At 56.9% G+C, this 24423-nt stretch overlaps 1 protein-coding gene across 1 annotated transcript, besides 2 other annotated features; it reads right to left on the bottom strand.

The window, feature by feature from the left end:
- Positions 1 to 201: a silencer, noted in NCBI's record as "peak3222 fragment used in MPRA reporter construct". NCBI's record gives its function as "represses an SCP1 promoter by STARR-seq MPRAs in K562 erythroleukemia cells {active_cell/tissue: K562}" and the evidence as "EXISTENCE:reporter gene assay evidence [ECO:0000049][PMID:32103011]".
- Positions 1161 to 1561: a transcriptional cis regulatory region, noted in NCBI's record as "candidate enhancer chr19.367 targeted for multiplex CRISPR interference". NCBI's record gives its function as "positively regulates JSRP1 gene expression with high confidence in K562 cells {active_cell/tissue: K562}" and the evidence as "EXISTENCE:mutant phenotype evidence [ECO:0000015][PMID:30612741]".
- Positions 11662 to 23631, bottom strand: PLK5 (polo like kinase 5 (inactive)). The gene is made up of 14 exons (NM_001243079.2): positions 23462 to 23631; positions 22290 to 22403; positions 21997 to 22113; positions 21093 to 21222; positions 20917 to 21004; positions 20710 to 20805; positions 19574 to 19772; positions 19280 to 19406; positions 18734 to 18810; positions 18218 to 18302; positions 17884 to 17961; positions 15825 to 15970; positions 13667 to 13777; positions 11662 to 12643 (listed from the first exon to the last, which is right to left on the bottom strand). Coding segments are annotated over exons 6-14 (1011 nt in total). The 5' UTR covers positions 20712 to 20805; positions 20917 to 21004; positions 21093 to 21222; positions 21997 to 22113; positions 22290 to 22403; positions 23462 to 23631; the 3' UTR covers positions 11662 to 12457.
- Between the last annotated feature and the right edge of the window lie 792 nt (positions 23632 to 24423).

Raw genomic sequence — 24423 nt, 5'->3', positions numbered from 1 at the left:
CAAATCTCATCTCGGTTGTAATCTCCATGGTCCCCACGTGTGGAGAGAGGGAGCAGGTGGGAGGTGATTGGATCATGGGGGCGGTTCCCTCGTGCTGCTCTCTGATAGTGAGTGAGATCTCACGAGATCTGATGGTTTTATAAGGCAGTTTTCCCTGCTCTTCCTTCCTCTCTTTTCGCCTGAGTCAGGTAAGACACGCTTGTTTCCCCCTGCACCGTGATTGTAAGTTTGCTGAGGCCTCCCCAGCCATGCAGAACTGTGAGTCCAGGAACCTCCTTTGTTTATAAATTACCCAGCCTTGGCGGGGCGCGGTGGCTCCCGCCTAGAATCCCAGCACTTTCAGAGGCCGAGGTGGGAGGATCAATGAGGCCAGGAGTTCGAGACGGTGAAACCCCATCTCTACTAAAACAAAAAATTAGCTGGGCGTGGTGGCGGGCGCCTGTAGTCCCAGCTACTCGGGAGGCTGAGGCAGGAGAATGGCGTGAACCCGGGAGGCGGAGCTTGCAGTGAGCCGAGATCGCGCCACTGCACTCCAGCCTGGGCGGCAGAGAGAGACTCCGTCTCAAAAATAAAAAGATAAATAAATAAAAATAAAAGAAAAAATAGTTTGCTGAGAATGCACATGTACCCTAGAACTTAGAGTATAATAAATATATATATGATAAAATAAAAAAAATAAAAAACAATACATTACCGAGGCTCAGTAGTATCCTCCTGCCTTGGCCTACTGAAGTGCCGGGATTACAGGTGTGAGCTCCTGCATCAGGCTTCTCAGTGAGAGTTATAAGCCAGAGACCTCCATTCTTGTGGTCCCTGAATTACTGGGCGGCGGTGGGGGTTGGGGAGGACGGTTTGGGGAACACAGACGGGAATTAATTCCATAGGTGTTTATTATAATTGATTGAGCGCCTTATTGCCAAAGCCCACAGTGGGTAGGCTGTCTCGGCTGGGCGTGGTGGCTCACGCCTGTCATCCCAGCGCTTTGGGAGGCCGAGGTAGATGGATCACATGAAGTCCTAAGTTCGAGACCTGCCTAACATGGCGAAGCCGTCTCTACTAAAAATACAAAAATTAGCCGGATGTGGTGGTGCATGTCTGTAATCCTAGCTACTCTGGAGGCTGAGGCAGGAGAGTCGCTTGAACCCAGGAGGTTGAGGTGAGCTGAGATCACGCCATTGCACTCCAGCCTGAGCAACGAGAAACTCTGTCTCCAAAAAAAAGGGGGCCCTCGCTCCTACCCCACTGCCTCCCCGACTCCATCGCGACCCCAACTCCTTCCCCATTTCGACCCCACAGCCGCCAGGCTGGACCAGAACGGCACGTTCTCTGTCGCCACCGTGTGGCCAGCGCCGCACATGACACCCTGCCCCTCCCCGCCCCGACATCGGAGCTCTGAACCCCCGGGAAATTCCCGGGAGATTTGTCCAAAGTGGAGACACAGGTCCCTTCGCTCGTGGCTGCGAGCTTCCCCCGCGCACAAACGGGCGCACCTGTTTCCCCGTTTTCCTGCCGCTGGCCGACCCTCGCCCAGTAGTTCAGCGCTAGTACGCAGTGGGGGCTCATTAAATATTTGCTGATTGGCCGGGCGCAGTGGCTCACACCTGTAATCCCAGCACTTTGGGAGGCCGAGGCGGGCGGATCACCTGAGGTCGGGAGTTCGAGACCAGCCTGGCCAACATGGTGAAACCCCGTCTCTACTAAAAATACAAAAATTAGCCGGGTGTGGTGGCGCACACCTGTAATCCCAGCTATTCGGGAGGCTGAGGTAGGAGACTCGCTTGAACCCGGGAGGTGAAGGTTGCAGTGGGCCGAGATCATGCTACTACACTCCAGCCTGGGCGACAAGAGGGAAGGTCCATCTCAAACAACAACAACAACAACGAAATTGATGATTGCATGGATGACTGGCAGGGGACACAGAAATGTGTTCTTCCTTTATGCAAAACAGATCCAGTCTCGCCCAGTGTTAGGGGCGACAGAGAGATACCTGGACACCCCACACCACCCAGAGAGTTTTACCACTACCCTTTCAAGGGCAGAAAAGACTCCACTTTCTTGGCTTTTTTCTTTTTTTCTCTTTTTATTTTTTGAGACAGAGGCTTGCTCTGTCACCTAGGCTAGAGTGCAGTGGTGCGATCTCAGCTCAGTGCAACCTCTGCCTCACGGGTTCAAGCGATTCTCCTGCCTCAGCCTCCAAAGTAGCTGGGATTACAGGCACCTGCCACCATGGCCGGCTAATTTTTGTATTTTTAGTAGAGACGGGGTTTCACCATGTTGGCCAGGCTGGTCTCGAACTCCTGACCTCAGGTGATCTGCCCGTCTTGACCTCCCAAAGTGCTGGGATTACAGGCGTGAGCCACCGCTCCTGGACCATAATTTTTTTTTTTTTTTTTTTTTTGAGATGGAGTCTCGCTCTGTCACCCAGGCTGGAGTGCAGTGGCGTGATATCGGCTCACTGCAAGCTCCGCCTCCCAGGTTCACGCCATTCTCCTGCCTCAGCCTCCCGAGTAGCTGGGACTACAGGCGCCCGCCACCACGCCCGGCTAGTTTTTGTATTTTTAGTAGAGACAGGGTTTCACCGTGTTAGCCAGGATGGTCTCGAACTCCTGACCTCGTGATTCGCCCGCCTCGGCCTCCCAAAGTGCTGGGGTTACAGGAGTGAGCCACCGCACCCAGCCCTCATAATTTTTTAATTGAAAATTTTATTGAAATAATTGTCAATTCATATGCAGTTGCAAGAGGAGGGAGGATCTCATGAGCACAGGACGACAGGAATTCTTCTAGGTTGCATTGAGCTGTGATCCTGCTACTGCACTCCAGTCTGGGTGACGGAACAAGACCCTGTCTCAGAAAGAAAGGAGGGAAGGGCCGAGTGCTGTGGCTCATGCCTGTAATCCCAGCATTTTGGGAGGCCAAGGCAGGTGGATCACCTGAGGTCAGGAGTGCGAGACCAGGCTGGCCAACATGGGGAACCTCCTCTTTACCAAAAATACAACAACAACAAAAAATTAGCCGGGCGTGGTGGCGGGCACCTGTAGTCCCAGCTACTCGGGAGGCTGAGGCAGGAGACTCGTTTGAACCTGGGAGGCGGTGGTTGCACTGAGCCTAGAACACACCACTGCACTCTCGCCTGGGCAACAGAGTGAGACTCCATCTCAAAACAAAAACAAAACAAAACAAAACAAAACAAAAACGGGTGTGGTGGCTCACGCCTGTAATCACAGCACTTTGAGAGTCCAAGGCAGGTGAATCACGAGGTCAGGAGTTCGACAGCAGCCTGGCCAACATAGTGGAACCCCATCTCTACTAAAAATACAAAAATTAGTCGGGCGTGGTGGTGGGCGCCTGTAATCCCAGCTACTCCGGAGGCTGAGGCAGGAGAATCGCTTGAACCCCAGAGGCTGCAGTGAGCTGAGATCACAAAATTGCACTCCAGCCTGGGGTGCATTAAGGACACTCCATCTCTAAAAAACATATAAGTAAGATTTCACATGGATACAATCCATCAATCTTACTCAGGATTCCTCAGTTTAACTTGTGATCGTGTGTGTGAGTGTGTGAGATGTCTTTAGTCTCCTATAATTTGCTGGCCTGGGTAGATTCGTGTATCCACCATCATGACATGGAGCATTTCCATCACCATCAGGATCTCTTGCTGTTTGTGCACCCTCCCCGCACCCTCATCCCTAACCCTAATTCCATTTCTAAAATGTTACATAAACTTTTTTTGTTCTTTACACAGGGTCTTGCTCTGTTGCCCAGGCTGGACTCCAGTGGTGCAACTACAGCTCACTGCAACCTACATGAACTCCTGGGTTCAAGGCATCCTCCTGCCTCAGTCGCCCAAGCAGCTAGGACTACAGGTGTGCATCATCATCCTTGGCTTATTTATTTATTTATTTATTTATTTATTTTGAGACGTAGTCTTGCTCTGTCGCCCAGGCTGGGGTGCGGTGGCGCCATCTCGGCTCACTGCAAGCTCCGTCTCCCCGGGTTCACGCCATTCTCCTGCCTCAGCCTCCCGAGTAGCTGGGACGACAGGCACCCGCCACCACGCCCGGCTAATTTTTTGTATTTTTAGTAGAGACAGGGTTTCACCGTGTTAGCCAGGATGGTCTCGATCTCCTGACCTCCTGATCCGCCCGCCTCGGCCTCCCAAAGTGCTGGGATTATAGGCGTGAGCCACCGCGCCTGGCCTTAATTTTCTAATTTTTTATAGAGATGGGGTCTCACTATGTTCCCCAGGGTGGTCTGGAACTCCTGGGCTCAGGTGATCCTCCCACCTCAGCCAACTGAGTAGCTGGGACCACAGGCACACCCCACTATGCCCGGCTAATTTTTTTTTTTTTTTTTTTTTCCCGAGACGGAGTCTCACTCTGTCACCCAGGCTGGAGTGCAGTGGCGTGATCTAGGCTCACTGCAACCTCCGCCTCCGTGGTGAAAGTGATTCTCCTCCCTCAGCTCCCCGAGTAGCTGGGACTACAGGCGCCCGCCACCACGCCCGGCTAATTTTTGTATTTTTAGTAGAGATGGGGTTTCACCATGTTGGCCAGGCTGGTCTCGATCTCTTGACCTTGTGACCCGGCTGCCTCGACCTCCTTAAGTGCGGGGATTACAGGCGTGGGCCACCGCGCCCGGCCGGGACAGGCTTTTTTCACTCAGCGTAATTCTCTGGAGTCATCAGGAGTTTGAAAACTCCCCGTGGGACCCAGGTTGACCTACCTACCAGCACCCCATTTTTTCATAGATTGAGAACCAGCGCCTCAGTGTCCCCATCTGTATAGTGGGAGAGAAAAGGTCCCTGCTCCCGGGGCCTTGCCAAGGTGCAAGGAAGCTTTATGACGTCACACACAGTTACCACGGGCAACAGCCAATCCTGCTGGCCCCAGAGGTAGCCGCCCTTGGTCCCGCCCACGCCTTGCTTGCTTGCTGGTGATTGGAGGACGCATGATGTCACGTGCTCCCATAGACCAATGAGGAGGTGGTCTGGAGGCTGGGTTCAGCTGTAGCCTCAGCGTGGGAAAAAGGGTAAAACGGAACTTTGGGGCCGGGCGCTGGGGCTCACGCCTGTAATACCAGCACTTTGGGAGGCCGAGGCGGGTGGATCCCCTGAGGTCGGGAGTTCGAGACCAGCCTGGCCAACATGGTGAAACCCCGTCTCTACTAAAAGTAGAAAATTTATCCGGGCATGATGACGCCTGTAGTACCAGCTACTTGGGATCCTGAGGCACGAGAAAAATCTCCTGAACCAGGGAGTCGGAAGCTGCAGTGAGCCGAGAGCACGCCACTGCACTCCAGCCTGAGTGACAAGAGCGAGACTTTGTCTTAAAAAATAAAACTGAGCTTTGGAAATTCTTGCCAGGACAAGTTTTCCCTCTCTCAGGGTTAAATCAGTGGTTTCCAAAAAGAAAAAGAAGGAGAAGGAAGGAGGAGGAGAAAGAGGAAGAGAAGGGAGTAGGGAGAAGAAGGAAGAAGAAGGGAAGAAAGAAAAAAAAATCTTTGAGCCAGGGCTGGAGTGAATTCATGACCATTTCTTGAAGTTCCAACCCTTGTAAGCACCCAAAAAAGTGAGGCTATTAATTTTATTTCTGGCAGCACACAGTTCACCCGTCTAAGGAAGATTCCAGAAACTTTAGCACGAGGGCGGTGTGGGTGCTTTGCCATCTCTGGAAGTTCTTATACCTAGAAATAAGAATTGGCCCGGGAGGTTAGAAAATTAATATATTCTGTGGTTGGTTTATTTTTAATAAACCACCATTGTGGGCTCGGGGCGTGGGAGACGGCACAGATTGTTGCTGTTCTTGACGCCCACAAGCAGATGGAAATAAATACTCTAGGTAGGTCATTTTGCAAGACACCCAGTTAAACACTCTGAAGATGTTTTGTCTTTTTCTCCCTGGAAACAAATGTTCCGGGCAGAAATGAAGCTGTTTCTTGCATGTTTTGGGTTGTGTATTAGTTAGCTATTGCCGGGTCACAAGTTACCTTCACATTTGGTGTCTGGGCCAGGTACGGTGGCTCACAGTAATCCCAGTGCTTTGGGAGGCTGAGACGGGGGAGTTGCTTGAGACCAGGAGTTTGAGTCCAGCCTAGGTGACGGAGCGACACTCCTTCTCTCTATAAAAAAAGAGAAGAGGCCGAGCGCGGTGGCTCACACCTGTAATCCCAGCGCTTTGAGGGGCAGAGTCGGGCAGATCACCTGAGGTGAGGAGTTCGAGACCAGCCTGGCCAACATGGTGAAACCCCGTCTCTACTAAAAATACAAAAATTAGCCAGGCATGGTGGTGCATGCCTGTAATCCCAGCTACTCGGGAGGCAGGAGAATCGCTTGCACCCGGGAGGCAGAGGTTGCAGTCAGCTGAGATTGCACCACTGTACTCCAGCCTGGGCGACAGAGAGAAACTGTCTCAAAAAAAAAAAAAAGAAGAAGAAGAAAGAGAAGAAGGAGAAGAAGAAGAAGAACAACAACAACAACTTGGTGTCTTGCAATAACAACAAACTTTTTTTTTTTTTTTTTTTGAGATGGAGACTCGCTCTGTCGCCCAGGCTGGAGTGCAATGGCGTGATCTCCAATCACTCAATCACTGCAAGCTCCACCTCCCGGGTTCACGCCATTCTCCTGCCTCAGCCTCCCGAGTAGCTGGGACTACATGTGTGTATCACCACAGGTGGCTAATTTTTGTATTTTTAGTAGAGACGGGGTTTCACCATGTTGGCCAGGCTGGTCTCAAACTCCTGACTTCAGGTGAGCAGCCCATTTCAGCCTCCCAAAGTGCTGGGAATGCAGGCGTGAGCCACCACGCCCGGCCGGCTCATTTTGTTTTTAAAGGCAGTGATGCACTTGCTCTGTGTTTTCTCTGCTTGCTTTTGTTCCTCTCTCACCCACACTCCATTCCTTTGGGGTCCCTGGGGGCATCTCCAAATTCTCCCCACTGATCCCTCCTCCTAGGTCTGGCCACACCAAGGCACACGACCTCCCCTGACCCGTCCCCCTGCTTCCTCCCCCCACCCCAGCCCAGCGTGCCTGCAGCCCTCTCTACTCCCAACATGGGCCCCAGTGTCTGTTTTGGTCGTATTTTCTCTCCCATCCACAAACGCTGGCTTTGCTTCATCCCCCGTTCCATAAAAAGCACAGAGTTGGCTCTATCTCCACAGACGCAGCAACACACACAGGCACACGGCCGAGAGGCGACGCGGGGATGCCGCCATGGGTCAGTTATTCTCTCCAGGAAAGTAAGCATAGGAAACAGATGGGAAAAAAAGAGGAGACCCTGTCACTTCCCAGAAACAGAGGGGGCCCAGGGACAGGTGGTGGTGGACCCTGGGACTTGAGTTTGATTTGTTAAGGTTGCAATTTTGTGACAAAGAAACGGCATCCAGACCAAGCGCAGTGGCTCCCGCCTGTAATCCCAGCATTTTGGGAGGCCTAGGCGGGTGGATTGCCTCAGGTCAGGAGTTCAAGACCAGCCTGGGCAACATGGTAAAACCCCGTCTCTACTAAAAATACAAAAATTAGCCAAGTGTGGTGGCACACGCCTGTAGTCCCAGCTACTCAGGAGGCCGAGGCAGGAGAATTGCTTGAACCCAGGAGGCGGAGGCTGCAGTGAGCTGAGATCCGGCCACTGCACTCCGGCCTGGGCGAGAGAGTGAGACTCCATCTCAAAAAAAAAAATAAATAAATAAAAATAAAAGAAATGGGCCAGGCGCGGTGGCTCATGCCTGTTATCCCAGCACTTTGGGAGCCTGAGGTGGGCAGATTGCCCGAGGTCAGGAGTTCAAGGCCAGCCTGGCCAACATGGTGAAATCCCGTCTCTACTGAAAATGCAAAAATTATCTGGGCATGGTGGCACATGCCTGTAGTCCCAGCTATTCAGGAGGCTGAGGCAGGAGAGTTGCTTGAACCCCGGAGGCAGAGCTTTCAGTGAATTGAGATCACACCACTGCACTCCAGCCTGGGCGACAGAGTGAGACTCTGTCTCAAAAAAAAAAAAAAAAAAAAAGAAAGAAAGAAAGAAAGAAAGAAAAAGAAAGGAGGCCAGGTGCAGTGGCTCACGCCTGTAATCCCAGCACTTTGGGAGGCCAAGGCGGGAGGCTCACAGGTCAGGAGTTCGAGACCAGCCTGACCAATATGGTGAAACCTCATCTCTACTAAAAATACAAAAGTTAGCCGGGTGTGGTGGCGCATGCCTGTAATCCCAGCTACTTGGGAGGCTGAGTCAGGAGAATCGCTTGAACCCGGGAGGCACAGGGGGCAGTGAGTCAAGATGGCATCGCTGCACTCCAGCCTGGGCTACAGAGTGAGACCCTGTCTCAAAAAAAAAAAAAAGAAAAGAAAAAAAAGAAAAGTCTGCATTTTACTTTCAGAATTGATAGACTATGGTTCCAAAGGGAAAGGGCTGTGAGGAGGGCCCCTGGGAAGCTTCAGACCTGGGTGGCCTCGGACTCATCACGCCCCCATTTGAGTGGTGGAGCGCTCTGCCTGCAGATGGGTGGCCCCAGGACACGTTGTGCTTGGCAGGAGGCCATCCCCACCTCAACCCCTCTCTCGCCCCGTGCATCACTGACCTTGACGAGGGGCCACTACGGGGACATTGCTCCCCGCTGCGTGTGAGGTGCAGCGTGGGCTTGGGAATGTGCAACGTCTCCCGGGAGTGCCGTTTCTCCACTTCATTCCTTTTTTTTTTTTTTTTTTTTTCCCTGATTACAGAGGAAATCCGCTTTAGGAATTAAACACTAAGCCTGTAAATATTTCAGTTCCTATGTCCAAGCTAGGGTCTCTCCTCTTGGGCACTATGGATGTTGGGGCCAAGCCATTCTCTGGGGTGGGGCTGTCCTGGGCATTGCAGGGTGCTGAGCGGCGTCCCTGCCCTTCACCCACTCCATGCCAGGAGCACTCCCTGTCATTATGACCACAGATGTCCCGAGACATAGCCCAGTGTCCCCTGGGGACAGAATCACCCCCCCCCCCACCATTGAGAACAACTACTATTCTTTCTTTTTTTTTTTTTTTTTGTTTGAGACGGAGTGTCTCTCTGTCGCCAGGCTAGAGTGCAGTGGTGTAATCTTGGCTCACTGCAACCTCTGACTCCCCGGTTCAAGTGATTCTCCTGCCTCAGCCTCCCGAGTAGCTGGGATTACAGGCATACACCACCACGCCTGGCTAATTTTTGTATTTTTAGTAGAGCCGGGGTTTCACCATGTTGGCCAGGATGGTCTTGAACGCCTGACCTCGTGATCCGCCCACGCTGGCCTCCCAAAGTGCTGGCATTACAGGCATGAGCCACAGCGCCCGGCCGAGAACTACTACTATTCTAGAGGCTAAGGTGGCCAGGCGTGGTGGCTCACGCCTGTAATCCCAGCACTTTGGGAGGCCAAGGCGGACGGATCAGGTCAGGAGATCCAGACCATCCTGGCTAACACGGTGAAACCCCGTCTCTATTAAGAATACAAAAAATTAGCCGGGCACGGTGGCGTGCGCCTGTAGTCCCAGCTATTCGGGAGGCTGAGGCAGAAGAATGGCGTGAACCCAGGAGGCGGAGCTTGCAGTGAGCCGAGATCATGCCACTGCACTCCAGATGTCAATGATGCCCTTTTGTGCGCACCTCCAGGAATGTCTCTCTTTTTTCTTCTTTTTTAGACGAAGTCTCACTCTTGTCGCCCAGGCTGGAGTGCAGTGGCGCCTTCTGCAAACTCTCTCTCCTGGGTTCAAGCGATTCTCTTGCCTCAGCCTCCCAAGTAGCTGGGATTACAGCCACTCACCACCACGCCCAGCTAATTTTTGTATTTTTAGTAGAGACAGGGTTTCACCATGTTGGCCAGGCTGGTCTCGAACTCCTGACCTCAGGTGATCTGTCTATTGGTGGCATTACAGGCGTGAGCCACGGCACCCAGCCAATTTTTTATTTTTATTTTTTGAGAAAGGGTCTTGCTCTATCACCCAGAGTAGTGGTGGAGTACCGTGGTGCAATCATAGCTCACTGTACCTCCGAACTCCTGGGCTCAAGCAATCCTCCCACCTGGGCCTCCTGAGTAGCTGGGACCACGGGCATGTGCCACCAGGCCTGGCTTTTAAATTTTTAGTAGAGACAGAGTCTTCCTATGTTGCCCAAGCAGGTCTCAGACTCCTGTCCTCAAGTGATCCGCCTGCCTCAATTTCCCAGCCTGCTGGAATTACAGGCATGAGCCACTTCTCCCTCTTTTATGATGAGTTTCTGGGGTTGATAACCGGAACTTGGAAGTAGAACTTCATGCAGAATCATGCTGCTGGCAGGGATTCCAGAGAATACATGCCCCCCTTAAACAGGCAGGGAAACTGAGGCCTGGATGTGCCTGGAAGTGGCCAGCTGGGACTGGAGCCCCGGTCTCCTGATCCCGCATCGGTCGAGGTGGAGTTTTCTCCAGCATAGGATACACCTCTGAGCACCTTAGCAGACGCCCAAAGCACAGCCCAGGAGCCTCGCACTGAGAATTGTGGCCTCAAGTGCTAATGAGGGGGCCAGGCACAGTGGCTCATGCCTGTAATCCCAGCCCTTTGGGAAGCTGAGGTGGGAGGATCACCTGAGGTCAGGAGTTCAAGAGCAGCCTGACCAACATGGTGAAACCCTGTCTCTAGGCTGGGCACGGTGGCTCACGCCTGTAATCCCAGCACTTTGGGAGGCCGAGGCAGGCGGATCACGAGGTCAGGAGATCGAGACCATCCTGGCTAACATGGTGAAACCCCGTCTCTACTAAAAAATAAAAAAAAAAATTAGCCGGGCTTGGTGGCGGGCGCCTGTAGTCCCAGCTACTCGGGAGGCTGAGGCGGGAGAATGGCGTGAACCCGGGAGGCGGAGGTTGCAGTGAGTCGAGATCGTGCCACTGCACTCCAGCCTGGGCGACAGAGTGAGACTCCGTCTCAAACAAACAAACAAATGAAACCCTGTCTCTATTAAAAATACAAAAATTAGCCGGACGTGGTGGCACATGCCTGTAATCCCAGCTACTCAGGAGGCTGAGGCAGAGGAATCTATTGAACCCGTGAGGCGGAGGTTGCAGTGAGCTGAGATCGCACCACTGCACTCCAGCCTGGGCGACAGAGCAAGACTCTGTCTCAAAAAAAACAAAAGAGCTACTGAGGGGCCTGGAGTCCTTCTGCGATTGACGGGTTTTTCCGTCATCAGCTCTGCACCCCTCGGCCTGCCTTAATGCCTCCCGTGAGCCTTCCCACTTTCCCAGCCTCACTCATCCCAGGGGATGGCCAGATGTTTGAGTCTCGCACCGCTGGACACTTAGGTTGCGTCCAGTTTTTTTTTTTTTTTTTTTTTTTGAGAGGGATTTTCGCTCTGTTGCCCAGGCTGGAGTGCAATGGTGCAATCTCGGCTCACTGCAACCTCTGCCTCCTGGGTTCAAGTGATTCTCCTGCCTCAGCCTCCTGAGTAACTGGGACTACAGGCCCCCTACCACCACACCCAGCTAATTTTTGTATTTTTAGTAGAGACGGAGTTTCACCATATTGGCCAGGCTGGTCTCGAACTCCTGAGCTCAAGTGATCTGCCTGCCTTGGCCTCCCGAAGTGCTGGGATTACAGGTGTGAGCCACCACGCCTGGCCTTTTATGACATTTTGATCTAACAACCAATGCTCCATCAGCCCAGAGAGGTCAGGTCCATGAGTGCACCGTCCACCCCAGGGCAGCACAGGTGACGGTTGTGCCAACTGTGTCCCGGAGCATAGCCAGCCATCTTTCCAGCCTCAGTGTCGGCTTCTTTCCTGTCCACCCATTAAGCAACTGTCCCATGTTTTAGATTTGGAGTTATGGCAGAACCCCACTTCTGGTACTACTTTTGTTGTTGTTGAGACAGGGTCTTTGTTCTGTCGCCCAGGCTGGAGTGCAGTGGTGCAATCACAGCTCACTGCAGCCTCAACCTCCCATGCTCACGCCATCCTCCCATCTCAGCCTCCCAAGTAGCTGGGACTACAGGCACGTGCCACCATGCCCAGCTAATTTTTTGTAGAGATGGGGTCTTGCCATGTTGCCCAGGCTGGTCTCAAACTCCTGGGCCCAAGCGATCCTCCTGCCTTGGCCTCCCAAAGTGCTGGGATTCCAGGCATGAGCCACTACACTGGCCTCTGGTGCTAATGTCTGCATTAGTGAAAATGTAACCCACCTCTGCCACTAAGAGAAACAGGGAGGATGCAACGTCACGTGGGGTCAACGTTTCTTTGCCAAAGCTCCTCAAACGCTTTCCCCCAAAGAGAGGCAGACCATGGCCTACAGCATTTCAAATTGTCTTTAATGAAAAAGGAAGAGATCCCAGCAAAGTCTGGGTTGAACAGTCATGCCACAAGGCAAGAACCCACCTCCCGTGTGCCCCCCAGCCCTCCCCCAGGACAGCCCCTCTGGGGGAGCCACAGGAATGGAAATGGAGCCTGGGTCCCTGGCACTACCATGCAGGGGTCCACTCTGACCCTCAGGGGCACTAGATACTCTGCAGCATGCGGAGGGCGTGGTGAAGGTGCTGTCCGGTGGTGGGGGCGCAGCCGTGGCTCCGCGGGACGTCCAGGGAGTAGGAGGTGCCAGGGGACCCCTGCTCCCAGAGGGTGAGCTGCAAACCCTCACCCTCGCCACTCAGCACCAGTTGGGCCGGGACTCCACTGAAGCTCACCTGCAAAGGGTAAGATACCAGTCAAGGGGAGACGGGTACCCCTGCACCTGCCTCCAGCCGTGGCGCTCCAGAAGGACAAGTGGACACTGGACCCAGAGCCCCCAGTCTGGCCCCTAGTGCCTGCCCCAGCCACAGGAACTCGGGGTCGGGAGGCCAAGTGCTCCACTGTACACCTGGGGAAACTGAGGCTCAGATGGGGGCTCCCCTGCCCACAGTCTTCCAGCAAGACCCTGACTTTTTTTTTTTTTTAAACAGAGTCCTGCTCTGTCACCCAGGCTGGAGTGCAGTGGCGCGATCTCGGCTCACTGCAAGCTCCGCCTCCCGGGTTCACGCCATTCTCCTGCCTCAGCCTCCCCAGTAGCTGGGACTACAGGCGCCCGCCACCACGCCCGGCTAATTTTTTTTTTTTTTTTTTGTATTTTTAGTAGAGACGGGGTTTCACCGTGTTAGGCAGGATGGTCTCTATCTCCTGACCTCGTGATCTGCCCACCTCGGCCTCCCAAAGTGCTGGGATTACAGGCGTGAGCCACCGTGCCCGGCCTTTTTTTTTTTTTTTTTGAGACGAAGTCTTGCTCTGTCGCCCAGGCTGGAGTGCTGTGGCGTGATCTCGGCTCACTGCAACCTCCGCCTGCCAGGTTCAAGCGATTCTCCTGCCTCAGCCTCCTGAGTAGCTGGGATTACAGGAAGGCTCCACCACGCCCAGCTAATTTTTGTATTTTTAGTAGAGATGGGGTTTCACCGTGTTGGTCAGGTTGGTCTCAAACTCTTCACCTTGCGATCTGCCCGCCTCGGCCTCCCAAAGCACTGGGATTAGAGGTGTGGACCACAGTGCCTGGCCCAAAAACGTCATGCATTTTCCATGCTGTGGTTTTGTACGCAGGAGCCAATACCTTTTTTTTTTTTTTTTTTCCTGGGAGGCAAATGCTTCCTAAGGCTCCCCCAAAGCTTGCTCCGTAACAGCCCAGGCAGGCCAGACCCCACCCTGCCGAGCCCCAGTGCCCCGAGTTTGAGCCCCGGGCTCACCTGCACCATCCCATTGCTGAACAGCAGCAGCAGGGCGTGCTCAGAGGCCAGGAAGCGCAGGAGGCAGAGGCCGGGTCCAGCAGGTGGCACAGGTGTGGGGAGGGTCCCCTCCTGTGGACAGACTCGGCTGAGGTCACGTGACGCAGGGGGCGTCCCCACCCCTCGCCCCCACACCCAGCACCCCAGCTCTCACCTCCCGCAGCCGCCGCCGCAGGCAGCCGGCAAAGAGCTGCAGCACGGCCAGCTTGGCGCCCAGCAGGCCGGGCACATCCCTCAGGGCGAAGGCTTCCAGCCTCCCGCAGTTGGGCATGTAGCACACTTGGCTGGGGCCAGGACACAGGGCCTCTGTCCTGGACAGCCCAGGCCAGTGGACACCCTTCCATTGACCTACACCCCCTGGAATGGTGGCTTTAAAGAGCAGCTCTGCCCTAGTTACACCTTATCCATATGCCCAGTGCGGCTCTCTGTCCTCTCTTCACCTCAGCTGACAGCTGGTCCACCCTTCCTGCCTTCCAACTCTATCCACACTGCAGCCCCTCTCATCCCTCCCCGGTCACCAGCACAGCCCAGGCCTCCGCCACTGCCCACCTGATGAGTCCAGCCACCTCCCCACTGGCCCCCATGTCACTCCCGCTAGAAAGATTGTGTTAAGGCCGGGCGCGGTGGCTCACACCTATAATCCCAGCACTTTGGGAGGTCCAGGTGGGAGGATCACCTGAGGTCGGGAGTTCGAGACCAGCCTGGCCAACATGGAGAAACCCCGTCTCTACTAAAATTCAAAATTAGCCAGGCGTGGTGGCGGGTGCCTGTAATCCCAGCTACCCCGATCCCGGGATGGGGAGGTTGCGCTGAGCCGAGATTGCACTCCAGCCTGGGCAACAAGAGCACAACTCCGTCTCAAAAAAAAGAGACAGAGTCTCGTTCTGTCACCCAGGCTGGAGCGCAGTGGTGCAATCATGGCTCACTGGAGCCTTGACCTCCTGGGACCAAGTGATCCTCCCACCTCAGCCATCCAAGTAGCTGGGACCTACTGATGCATACCCTTGCAGTTGGCTAATTTAAAAAAAAAAAAACTTGGCCAGGCGCGGTGGCTCACGCCTGTAATCCCAGCACTTTGGGAGGCCGAGGCGGGCAGATCACGAGGTCAGGAGATCGAGACCATCCTGGCTAACACAGTGAAACCCCGTCTCTACTAAAAATACAAAAAATTAGCCAGGAGTGGCTGAGCGCGGTGGCTCATGCCTATAATCCCAGCACTTTGGGAGGCTGAGGCGGGTGGATCACCTGAGGTCAGGAGTTCGAGACCCGCCTGGCCAACATGGAGAAACCCCGTCTCTAATAAAAATACAAAATTAGCCAGGAGTGGTGGCGGGCACCTGTAATCCCAGCTACTTAGGAGGCTGAGGCAGGAGAATGGTGTGAACCCGGGAGGTGGAGCTTGCAGTGAGCCGAGATTGCGCCACTGCACTCCAGCCTGGGTGACAGAGTGAGACTCCATCTCAAAAAAAAAAAAAAAAAAAGAAGAAAATTTTGTAGAGAAAGGTCTTGCTGTGTGGCCCAGGCTGATCTCAAACTGCTGGGCTCAAGTGATTCTCCCACCTCAGCCTCCCACAGTGCCAGGATTACCGGTGTGCACCACCACGCCCAGCTAATTTTTAATTTTTTTGTGGAGATGGGGTCTTGCTATGAGGCCAAGGCTGATCTCAAACTGCTGGGTTCAAGCGAGTCCGCACCTCAGCCTCCAACGTGCCAGGATTATAGGTGTGTGCCACCACACCAAGCTAATTATTAAAATTTTTGTAGGGATGGGGTCTTGCTATGTTGTCCAGGCTGATCTCGATCTCCTGGGCTCAAGGAATCCTGCCTTGGCCTCCCAAAGCACAGGGCTGCCGCTTGTCATTCACGTCACTTTCTCAGAGACCCCTTCCCCTTCCCCCTACCCACACTACTGAGATTCACCTCCCCTCCTAATCTGCCTCTTCACTGGGTTCATTTACTACAGAAACGCACTTGCTGATTCGTTTAGTGTTGTTCTCCCCGACCAGGCAGGGAGCACCTGTAGGTGTGCACAGTAGGTGCTTAATAAATACTTGAGAGATGAATGAAAAAAGGCAGGGGGAGTGCCTGGTCCCCCAGGGCACAGGAGGCCACAACTTACCCTCCGGGGGGTCGCAGGGCCATGTGGGTGCCGTCCCGTGCGCCCCCCGTCCAAGAGCTGGTAGCCAAAGCCGTATTTGCTGGAATAATCCACCCATTTGGGGGCCCAGAGGATGGGCTGCTGCTCTCCCAGGGGGTCCTGTGTGGCTGGGCACAAACAAAGGTATGCTGAGCCAGGGGTCAGGGGTCAGGCATATAGTAGGCACTCAATAAATGTGATGGACTGAAACCATGGGTGAGACCCTTCCCACGGCGGGGACCGGACAGAGGCTTGGGGGCTTCGGTGGTGGATTCTAGGAGACCAGACATCAACAGAAGCCACGGAACCGTAACTAATTTCTGGCTTGCAGAGGGAGACTGTGGGATACTGGCGCACCCCTGGGAATGAGCAATTCTCAAATACTTGCAATGCTCTGAAAATACTACACATTTCTGGGTGTGTGTGTTTTTGTTTGTTTTGTTTTGTTTTGTTTTTTTGAGACAGAGTCTTGCTCTGTCCCCAGGCTGGAGTGCAGTGGCGCAATCTCGGCTCACTGCAACCTCCGCCTCCTGGGTTCAAGCGATTCTCCTCCCTCAGCCTCCTGAGTAGCTGGGATCACAGGCACGTGCCACCACACCCAGCTAATTTTTGTGTTATTAGTAGAGATGGGGTTTCACCATGTTGGCCAGGATGGTTTCGATCTCCTGACCTTGTGATCCACCTGCTTCAGCCTCCCAAAGTGCTGGGATGACAGGCATGAGCCACCACGCCCTGCCCCGTTTCTGGGTTTTTGCTTGTTTGTCTGTTGGCTTTTCAGACAGGGTCTCGCTCTGTTGCCCAGGCTGAAGTGCAGTGGCACGATCTCAGCTCACTGCAGCCTCCACCTCCGAGCTCAAGTGATCCTCCTTCCTCAGCCTCCTGAGTATCTGGGACAACATGCATGCACCACCATGCCCGGCTCATTTTTTTGTAGAGATGGGGTCCTGAGGCTGGGCGCGGTGGCTTATACCTGTAATCCTAGCACTTTGGGAGGCCGAGACAGGCGGATCACGAGGTCAGGAGATCGAGACCATCCTGGCTAACACAGTGAAACCCCGTCTCTACTATAAATACAAAAATTAGCCGGGCATGGTGGCGGGTGCCTGTAGTCCCAGCTGCTGGGGAGGCTGAGGCAGGAGAATGGCGTGAACCCGGGAGGCAGAGCTTGCAGTGAGCCGAGATCACGCCACAGCACTCCAGCCTGGGCGACAGAGTGAGACTCCGTCTCAAAAAAAAAAAAAAAAAAAAAAAAAAAAAAAAATGCGCCCAGGCGTGGTGGCTGACGACGTCTGTAATCCCAGCACTTTGGGAGGCTGAGGCGGCCAGATCACCGGAGGTCAGGAGTTCGAGACCAGCCTGGCCAACATGGTGAAACCCTGTCTCTACTAAAAGAATACAGAAATTAGCAGGTGTGGTGGCACACGCCTGTAATCTCAGCTACTCGGGAGGCTAAGGCAGGAGAATCGCTTTGAACCCAGGAGGTGGAGGTTGTGATGAGCCAAGATGGCACCATTGCACTCCAGCCTAGGCAACAGAGTGAGATTCCGTCTCTTAAAAAAAAAGAAAGAAAAGGAAAAGAAAAGGCTTCTGGGCTGGAGACCTGGCGTGGGGTTTGGGGCTCCCTCTCTAAGGGTGGCAGTATGTGTGGGTCAGTGGAGGCTCAGGGAGAGGAGGGGAGAGGAAGAGGGTTTGGGTTCTGGGACACTGGGGATAAGAGGGGTCCCCCTTTGGAGTGTGGCCTGTGGGCACAGGGCTCTGTGTCCAACGTCCCAGGTCACGTTTCCTCACTCACTGGGTCTCTAACGAGCCCGGGTCATGAATTTAAGAGACCGTGAAACGTAAGGCTGCCGCAGAGCCCTCCGTGCCAGGCTCTGCACACAGGAGGGCTAACCCACTCTCCTGATGTCACCGTGTCCTGGGGCCTCCCTCACCCCTACTCCTCACCCCCAGAAATACCCAGGAGGGCCCAGGATGGGAATGAAGGCAATTTTACTTGGCTAGTAAGAGTAAAGGTGATCCTGGGGGCTGGGCCGGCTCCTACCCGGGGGGCCTACATCCAGGCACAGCTGCAGGTGTCTGAGGGCCGCCTCCACCTCTGGCCGCCGGCTCCCCTCGGGCCCTGGGAAGACAGGTCTTTGTGCCGCAGACAGGTCTGGGTTCCCACCACCAGGCTCTTCCAACCAGTCCCCCTCCCCACGGCTCCATCCAGGAACATCTCATCCTCAACCCAGAGGCGGCATTCCCATTTGACAGGCGGGAAAGGTGAGGCCGGGACGGCGGCTGTGACCCTGGTAAGCCACGGCCTTGGTCCCCCTGTCACTTGTAATTCCTCCCTCCCCACCTGCAGCCCCGGGCTGGGACGGGGATCTGCTCACCGGCCAGGTCACTCTGCAGGGTCCCTTGTGCGACCAGGTGGATGGGGCCTTCCAGGCAGGGAACCTCTTTCGCAGACAGGGAGCTCTGAGGTGGGAGCAGCAGGGGTGGGGGTGGCCCCGGCCCCAGCCCCAGGGACAGGCGTGAGGTGGGTGGCAGGCTCTGGCCCCTGCCTGTGCCCTCCGTGCTCTGCACACAGAGGCACTGCTTTCCCCTTGGGAGGCAGCCTCGGAGTGTCTCGGAGGCATACAGTAGGTGCTCAATAAATGTGATGGACTGAAGCCATGGATGGGACCCTTCCCATGGCCTCGAGCCCGGCCCTTGGGAAAGCCCAGGTGGGCACATTTGGACACAAATGGATCCCAGCTCTGATGCGTCAGGACGGGACTAGGGGGAGGGGGCCGGGCTTGGAGACCCCAGAAGGGGTTCAGAGAAGCCGGCATGGGGGAGGGGGTTTTAGCAGGGGCCAGCATGCCCTCCACCTGTGTCTCCCCGTGTCCCCCACCCCGATGTCTCACCTCGCCGTCCCACTCCATGGAGTCAGGGTCTGGCCCACCTTCTCCTGGACCCGAGGCCTCTTTAGGCGTGAAGGGGCCTGAGGGAGGCACAAGGCCTTGGAGGGGGCACAGCCTGGGCCCCAAGCTGGGGGTAGGGGGGCACCTGCCACCCACACCCACCCCTGATGTGGAGACAGAGCGGAGCAGGTGGCAGTTGTGGGCAGGTGGGAGGTGTGGGCAGGCGGGAGGTGTGGGCAGGTGGGGGCAGGTAGCAGGCGTAGGCAGGTGTGGGCAGGTGGGAGGTGTGAGCAGGTGGGAGGTGTGGGCAGGTGGGAGGTGTGGGCAGGTGGGAGGTGTGGGCAGGTGGGGGGCGTGGGCAGGTGGGGGGCGTGGGCAGGTGGGAGGCGTGGGCAGGTGGGAGGCGTGGGCAGGTGGGAGGCGTGGGCAGGTGGGAGGCGTGGGCAGGTGGGAGGTGTGGGCAGGTGGGAGGCGTGGGCAGGTGGGAGGTGTGGGCAGGTGGGAGGCGTGGGCAGGTGTTGGGCAGGTGTGGGCGGGGGTGGTACTTACAGGGTGGCCGGCACTGGGTGAGCAGCCGCTGGCCCACCTTCCGGAAGATCCTGCCCAGAGGCGGGGGTATGGCGAAGATGGGGGGACTGTGGCAGGAGTGGGCCGGCAGCCGGTCTGGAGTGAAACCCTTTGGATGGGGATTTGGGGTTATCCCCGGCTTAGGTCACCCAGCCCCTGAGCACCTGGGTTACCTGGGACAGGGCGGGGCCTCCCTCGGCTGAGCAGGGCAGGCTCTGGCTCATCACCTGCCAGGGACCCCACGCCAGGGACCCCACGCCGAGGACCGCCGCCCACCTGTGTGAAGAAGTCGTCCTGCAGCAGGTGGTCCAGGCTGGGCCGCTCGGCCGGGTTGGGTGCTAGGAGGTGCACGATGAGGCGGCGCGCATTGGCAGACAGGTGAGCGGGTTCGGGGTAGTGGCCCTCACGGATGTTTTGGTACATCTCCGACAGGGGTGAGGCCATGAAGGGTGGGGTGCCAGTCAGCACCGTGTACCTGGGCCAGGTGGGGGGCAAGAACCTGGGTGTCCAGGCATCGCTCAGAGCTACCCCTGCACACTTGGCCAGACCTGCCTACACAGCTTAGCTGTGCAACCCATATCGGCTTCCTCATCTCCCAACATCCGCCTGCACCTAGCACCCTGTGCAGTCCCATGCACGCTGCTTGGTGGACACCAGCGTCTGTCCATCCCCTGCCTGCACCTGGCACCCTGTGCAGTCCCATGGACCCTGCTTGGTGGACACCAGCGTCTGTCCATCCCCTGCCTGCACCTGGCTCACCCTGAACTCACCTGCATACACCTTTTCAATGCTTCTATTTTTTTTTTTTAAAGACAGGGTCTCATTCTGTCACCCAGGCTGGAGTGCCGTTGTGCAATCACAGCTCACTGCAGTCTCCACCTCCTGAGCTCAAGCAATCCTCCCAACTCAGCCTCCTGAATAGCTGGGACTACAGGTGCACACCACCACTCCTGGCTAATTTTTGTAATTTTTGTAGAGACAGGGTTTCACCAACTTGGCCAGGCTGGTCTTGAACTCCTGGGCTCAAGCGATCCTCCTGCCTCGGCCTCCCAAAGCTCTAGGATTACAGGCGTGAGTCACTGCGCCTGGCCTCCACCTTCCAATGCTATCCCATGCCTGCTCACACCTGCCCTGCGCCCACACACGCTGTATCCCTGTACACATACGCCCTGACCTGCCTGTGCCACTGCCACCTGCCCACACCTGTCCACCTCTCTGTGCACACCCTCCCCCGTCCTCCCTCACACACGCCTCCCCACACACGTCCTGTTCATACTGCACACTTGGCGACAGGTGCCTGTTCCACGCGCCCCACCCTGCACAACGGTCCCCACCTGTTCCGTGCAGGCTCCCCCCCCGCCACACCTGCCCCCCCCGGAGGCCCTGCCCACCTTCTCCAGGACCCCACTCACATGATGCAGCCCAGAGCCCAGATGTCCTACTGGCAGGAGTGACCGTTTCTGGAGACAACCTCAGGGTCCAGGAAGTTAGGGGTCCCACAGAGTACTCTAGGAAGGGCGTCATGGGGGGCTCAGGAAGGCTGGGATCCCCGTGCCAGACTTCAGGGCCAGCCGTGCCCACCCGGACGGACTGCTCAGAGCCCTCCCCCCGGCTCTCACCTGTGGCAGCGGCCCCCTGGCCCCACCTTGGCCGCCAGTCCCAGGTCTCCAATCTTCACCTCCATGTTCTTGTTAAGGAAGAAGTTACCTGGCAGTGGGAGGGGCATTGCGCATGGGGGTGGATCCGTGCCCACCTCCCGACGCCCCCGCCCACAGTTCCCCTTCCTGGCACTCACTGAGCTTCAGGTCGCGGTGCAGGATGCACCGCTGGTGCAGGTAGCGCAGGCCGCTGACCAGGCCCCGCAGGTAGTCGCGCACTTCTGGCTCCGTCAGGATCTGCCGCGCCCTCAGCACGTGGGCCAAAGACTGTGGGTGACCAGCGGCCCCGGATTAGAAGGCAAATGTAAGCTCAGCCTGGCCAAGGTGGTATGGCTGATTATGGGATGAGCACAGGTGAGCGCAGGTGCACACAGGTGAGCAAAGATGACCCACCCCAATAGGAGCATGCGGGTTCAGATGGGCCCAGGTGGCCACTGAGGGGGGGCACGAACCTTTCCCCACGGGCACAGCTGCCCGGCCCCGGCCCCGCACCTGGCACCACCTTGAGGGTGAACACGGCGCTGGTGGACATGCTTGTCAGCTTGAGAAGGGCCAGGTGATTAGGAGTGAACGCAGAGGGGGCATATTCTGGCACAGGTGGACCCAGGTGGGCTCAGGTCTACTTAATGGGCACAGTGAGTTCACGGCCACGGTGGGCACAGCAGGGTGCAGGAGGGGCGCAGGTGACCACAGGTAGGCACAGGGGCATGCTGGTGGGTACAGGTGGGCATGGGTGAGTCCAAGGGGGCCAAGAAGAAGCAAACACATTCTGATGGGCCCAGGCGGTCACAGGTGAGTCTGAGACGGGCCTGATGAGCACAGCGTAAGCTGGGCCCAGGTGGATCAAGAGAGCCTGGGTGTGCCCAGGTGAGTAAAGGATGGACACAATTGGCCCTACGTAGGCGTAAGAAGCGCTGGCGAATGGACAGCAGAGGGCACACAGGATGGTACGGGGGGCAGCGGCGAGGTGCAGATGGACACGGGGTGGACAGAGACGGGCACAGCTGACATGAATCCTGCCCTCTCCCCGCCCCTGGGCACCTGGCGGCTGCAGTACTCCAGCACCATGTACACGTGGTCGCGGTCAGCAAAGTGTCCGTGGAAAGCCACGATGTTGCGGGGTCGCAGGCGGCTATGCAGGGCAATCTCACGCTCCACCTGCAGGCACGGCCCCGACATGTACCCGCCTGCAGCGGGGCACAGGCTGCAGGATGCTCGCCTGCCTCCTGTACGATCTCATGGCCACCCAGGGCTGGGACCAAAGGGCAGGGCCTTCTTCGGGACACGCTGCGGGCTGCGGACTGTGGGCCCTGGGGACCGATGGGGACACGCACCTTTCCCTGCGGGCGAAGCCACCCGGCCCCAGCCCCGCCACACGGCACCACCTTGAGGGCGAACACGGCGCTGGTGGACATGTCTGTCAGCTTGTAGCAGCGGCTGAAGGCGCCCTGTGGGGAGGGGTCAGCAGATCAGTGGGCAGGTGTGCACGGGTGTGCAAGCTGGCAGCGCGTACAGAGGCACAGGGCAGCCAGGGACGCAGGCGCGTCCAGGTCTCTCCACACACACACCGGGGAAAAAACAACACACAGCTCCCACCCTCCCGCCTGGACACACAAGACATGATGCACACAAGAAGGCACAGAGACACAGACACAGACACATCCACGCCTGGTGCATAGAGGCCACGGACCAGAAGACAGCACCGGATGCACAACACCACGCCTGAATACGACACACAAACACGCAACGCCCAGACACAGAGTCACCATGCATGGACACACAACACAACACCCAGATACACAACGCAGCAACACACAAACACATGAATATACAATGTCTGGACACACAGTCACCACGTGTGGACACACAACACAATACCCAGACACAGCACAGGAACACACAAACACATGAACACACAACACCTGGACACACAGTACAACACATGGACAAAGACACAGATACAAACACATGAACACACAACTCCTAGACACACCACATATGAACACACAAACACACAAGCACACCACATGAACACACAACACCCAGACACACAACACAATGACTGGACACACAAAGGCATGACGCACAAACAACAGGTGAACAAGCAACACAACACCCAGACACACACACACACACACACACACACACACACGAACACCGCACAGCACCCAGACACTTGGAAGCAGCGGGCACAGACGCGGCACACTCAGACCCTCGCCAGGCTCGCACACACACCCAGGGGCAACACAGCGTCGCATCCCGAGGCCGAGCCGCACGCCCACACCCCGGACACGCAACCCACGGACACGACGCACAGCGCGCTCAACACGGTTCCCGCCATGCGAAACCCCGCACGGGAGGCCCCGCGGCTCCGGACGCGCGCCCGCTCCAGACCCCGCGCTCGCAGGGACGCGCCGCGTAGACCGCGCAGGATCGCCCGCGCGCCCCGGGACCCCAGCCCAGCCCGGTCCGGCCCCGTCGCGGACTCGGGGCGCGGGCCTCCCACCTTGCCGATCAGCTTCCCGCGCCTGTACACGCGGCCCGAGCCCGGGTCTCGCAGGAAGGCGGCGACCAGGGGGCGACTCCTGCGCCGCCGCCGCGGCCGGGGCTCCATCGCGCGGACTCTGGCGCAGCCGGGCCGAGACCACCGCGCTGCGGCCGCTCCGGGGCCGCTCTGAGGGCGCAGGAGCCGCCGGGGAGCGTTTTATTGGCCGCGGGGGCGGGGAGGGGGCGGAGCCCGGGCGCAGGTCCAGCCCGGGGAGGGGCGGGAGGTGCCCGGCCGTGGAGTGGGGGGCGCGTGAGCGGCGGGGACGCCGCGGCTGGGGAAGTTCCACGGACCAGAGCGCGCCCGAGTCCCGCACGCCAACCGGGCGCCAGGGGCCGCGCTCAGCCCGCGAGCTCCTCCGACCCTGCACACCCGGGCTGGCTGGGAACCGCTGATACGCCCGCTTTACCGAGCGGGAAACTGAGGCTCTCTCGCGCGTGGGGGGTTGGGGGCTTCCGGGGGCTTCTCCCCCACAGTGCGCTTGAGGTATGAGCCTCGACGTTCTGAATGTGTGCCATTTCGGGTCCTCCCTGCTGGCGGGTCCCTGGGGCCCACATGAAAACCTGGGGCTTGATGGCCCTGGGCACTGGGGAGCCACAGCAGAATTCGGAGCGGCAGAGAAGCCCAGCGTTTGTGATGCTGGGGCTGGTGGGGAGGGCGGTGAGGCCTGGGACAGGGACCCAGGAGGCAGGACCGGGGCTTGGGGACGCATGGGCTGGGGTCCTACAGTGTAGTGGATGTCCCATATGAGGGAGCTTCAGCCCGGAGAAGGGATGGGCTGTGTGGAGCAGCAGGTGGACCCTGGCTGGGGTTTGCACGGACAGCCAGGTGGGGACGTCCTTGAAATGGCGACCTCAGAGAGCATCAGAAACCTCAGAGAACTCAGAGAACAGCTGGGTGGGAAGACAGTGGGGGGCTTGAGA

This window comes from Homo sapiens, chromosome 19 (genome assembly GCF_000001405.40).
Source record: "Homo sapiens chromosome 19, GRCh38.p14 Primary Assembly".
In the NCBI taxonomy this organism is placed as follows: Eukaryota; Metazoa; Chordata; class Mammalia; order Primates; family Hominidae; genus Homo; species Homo sapiens.
The sequence above is the reverse complement of the archived record's forward strand: the minus strand, read 5'-3'. Positions and strand labels throughout refer to the sequence as shown.

Excerpts from the sequence above, each read along its gene's own strand:
- PLK5 (NM_001243079.2), bottom strand. Across the intron at positions 19,407-19,573 it reads AGGACGACTTCTTCACACAG|GGTTTCACTCCAGACCGGCT; the intron begins GTGGGCGGCGGT and ends CCCCATCCAAAG. Across the intron at positions 13,778-15,824 it reads GCCCTGCGACCCCCCGGAGG|GAGGGGACCCTCCCCACACC; the intron begins GTAAGTTGTGGC and ends GTCTGTCCACAG.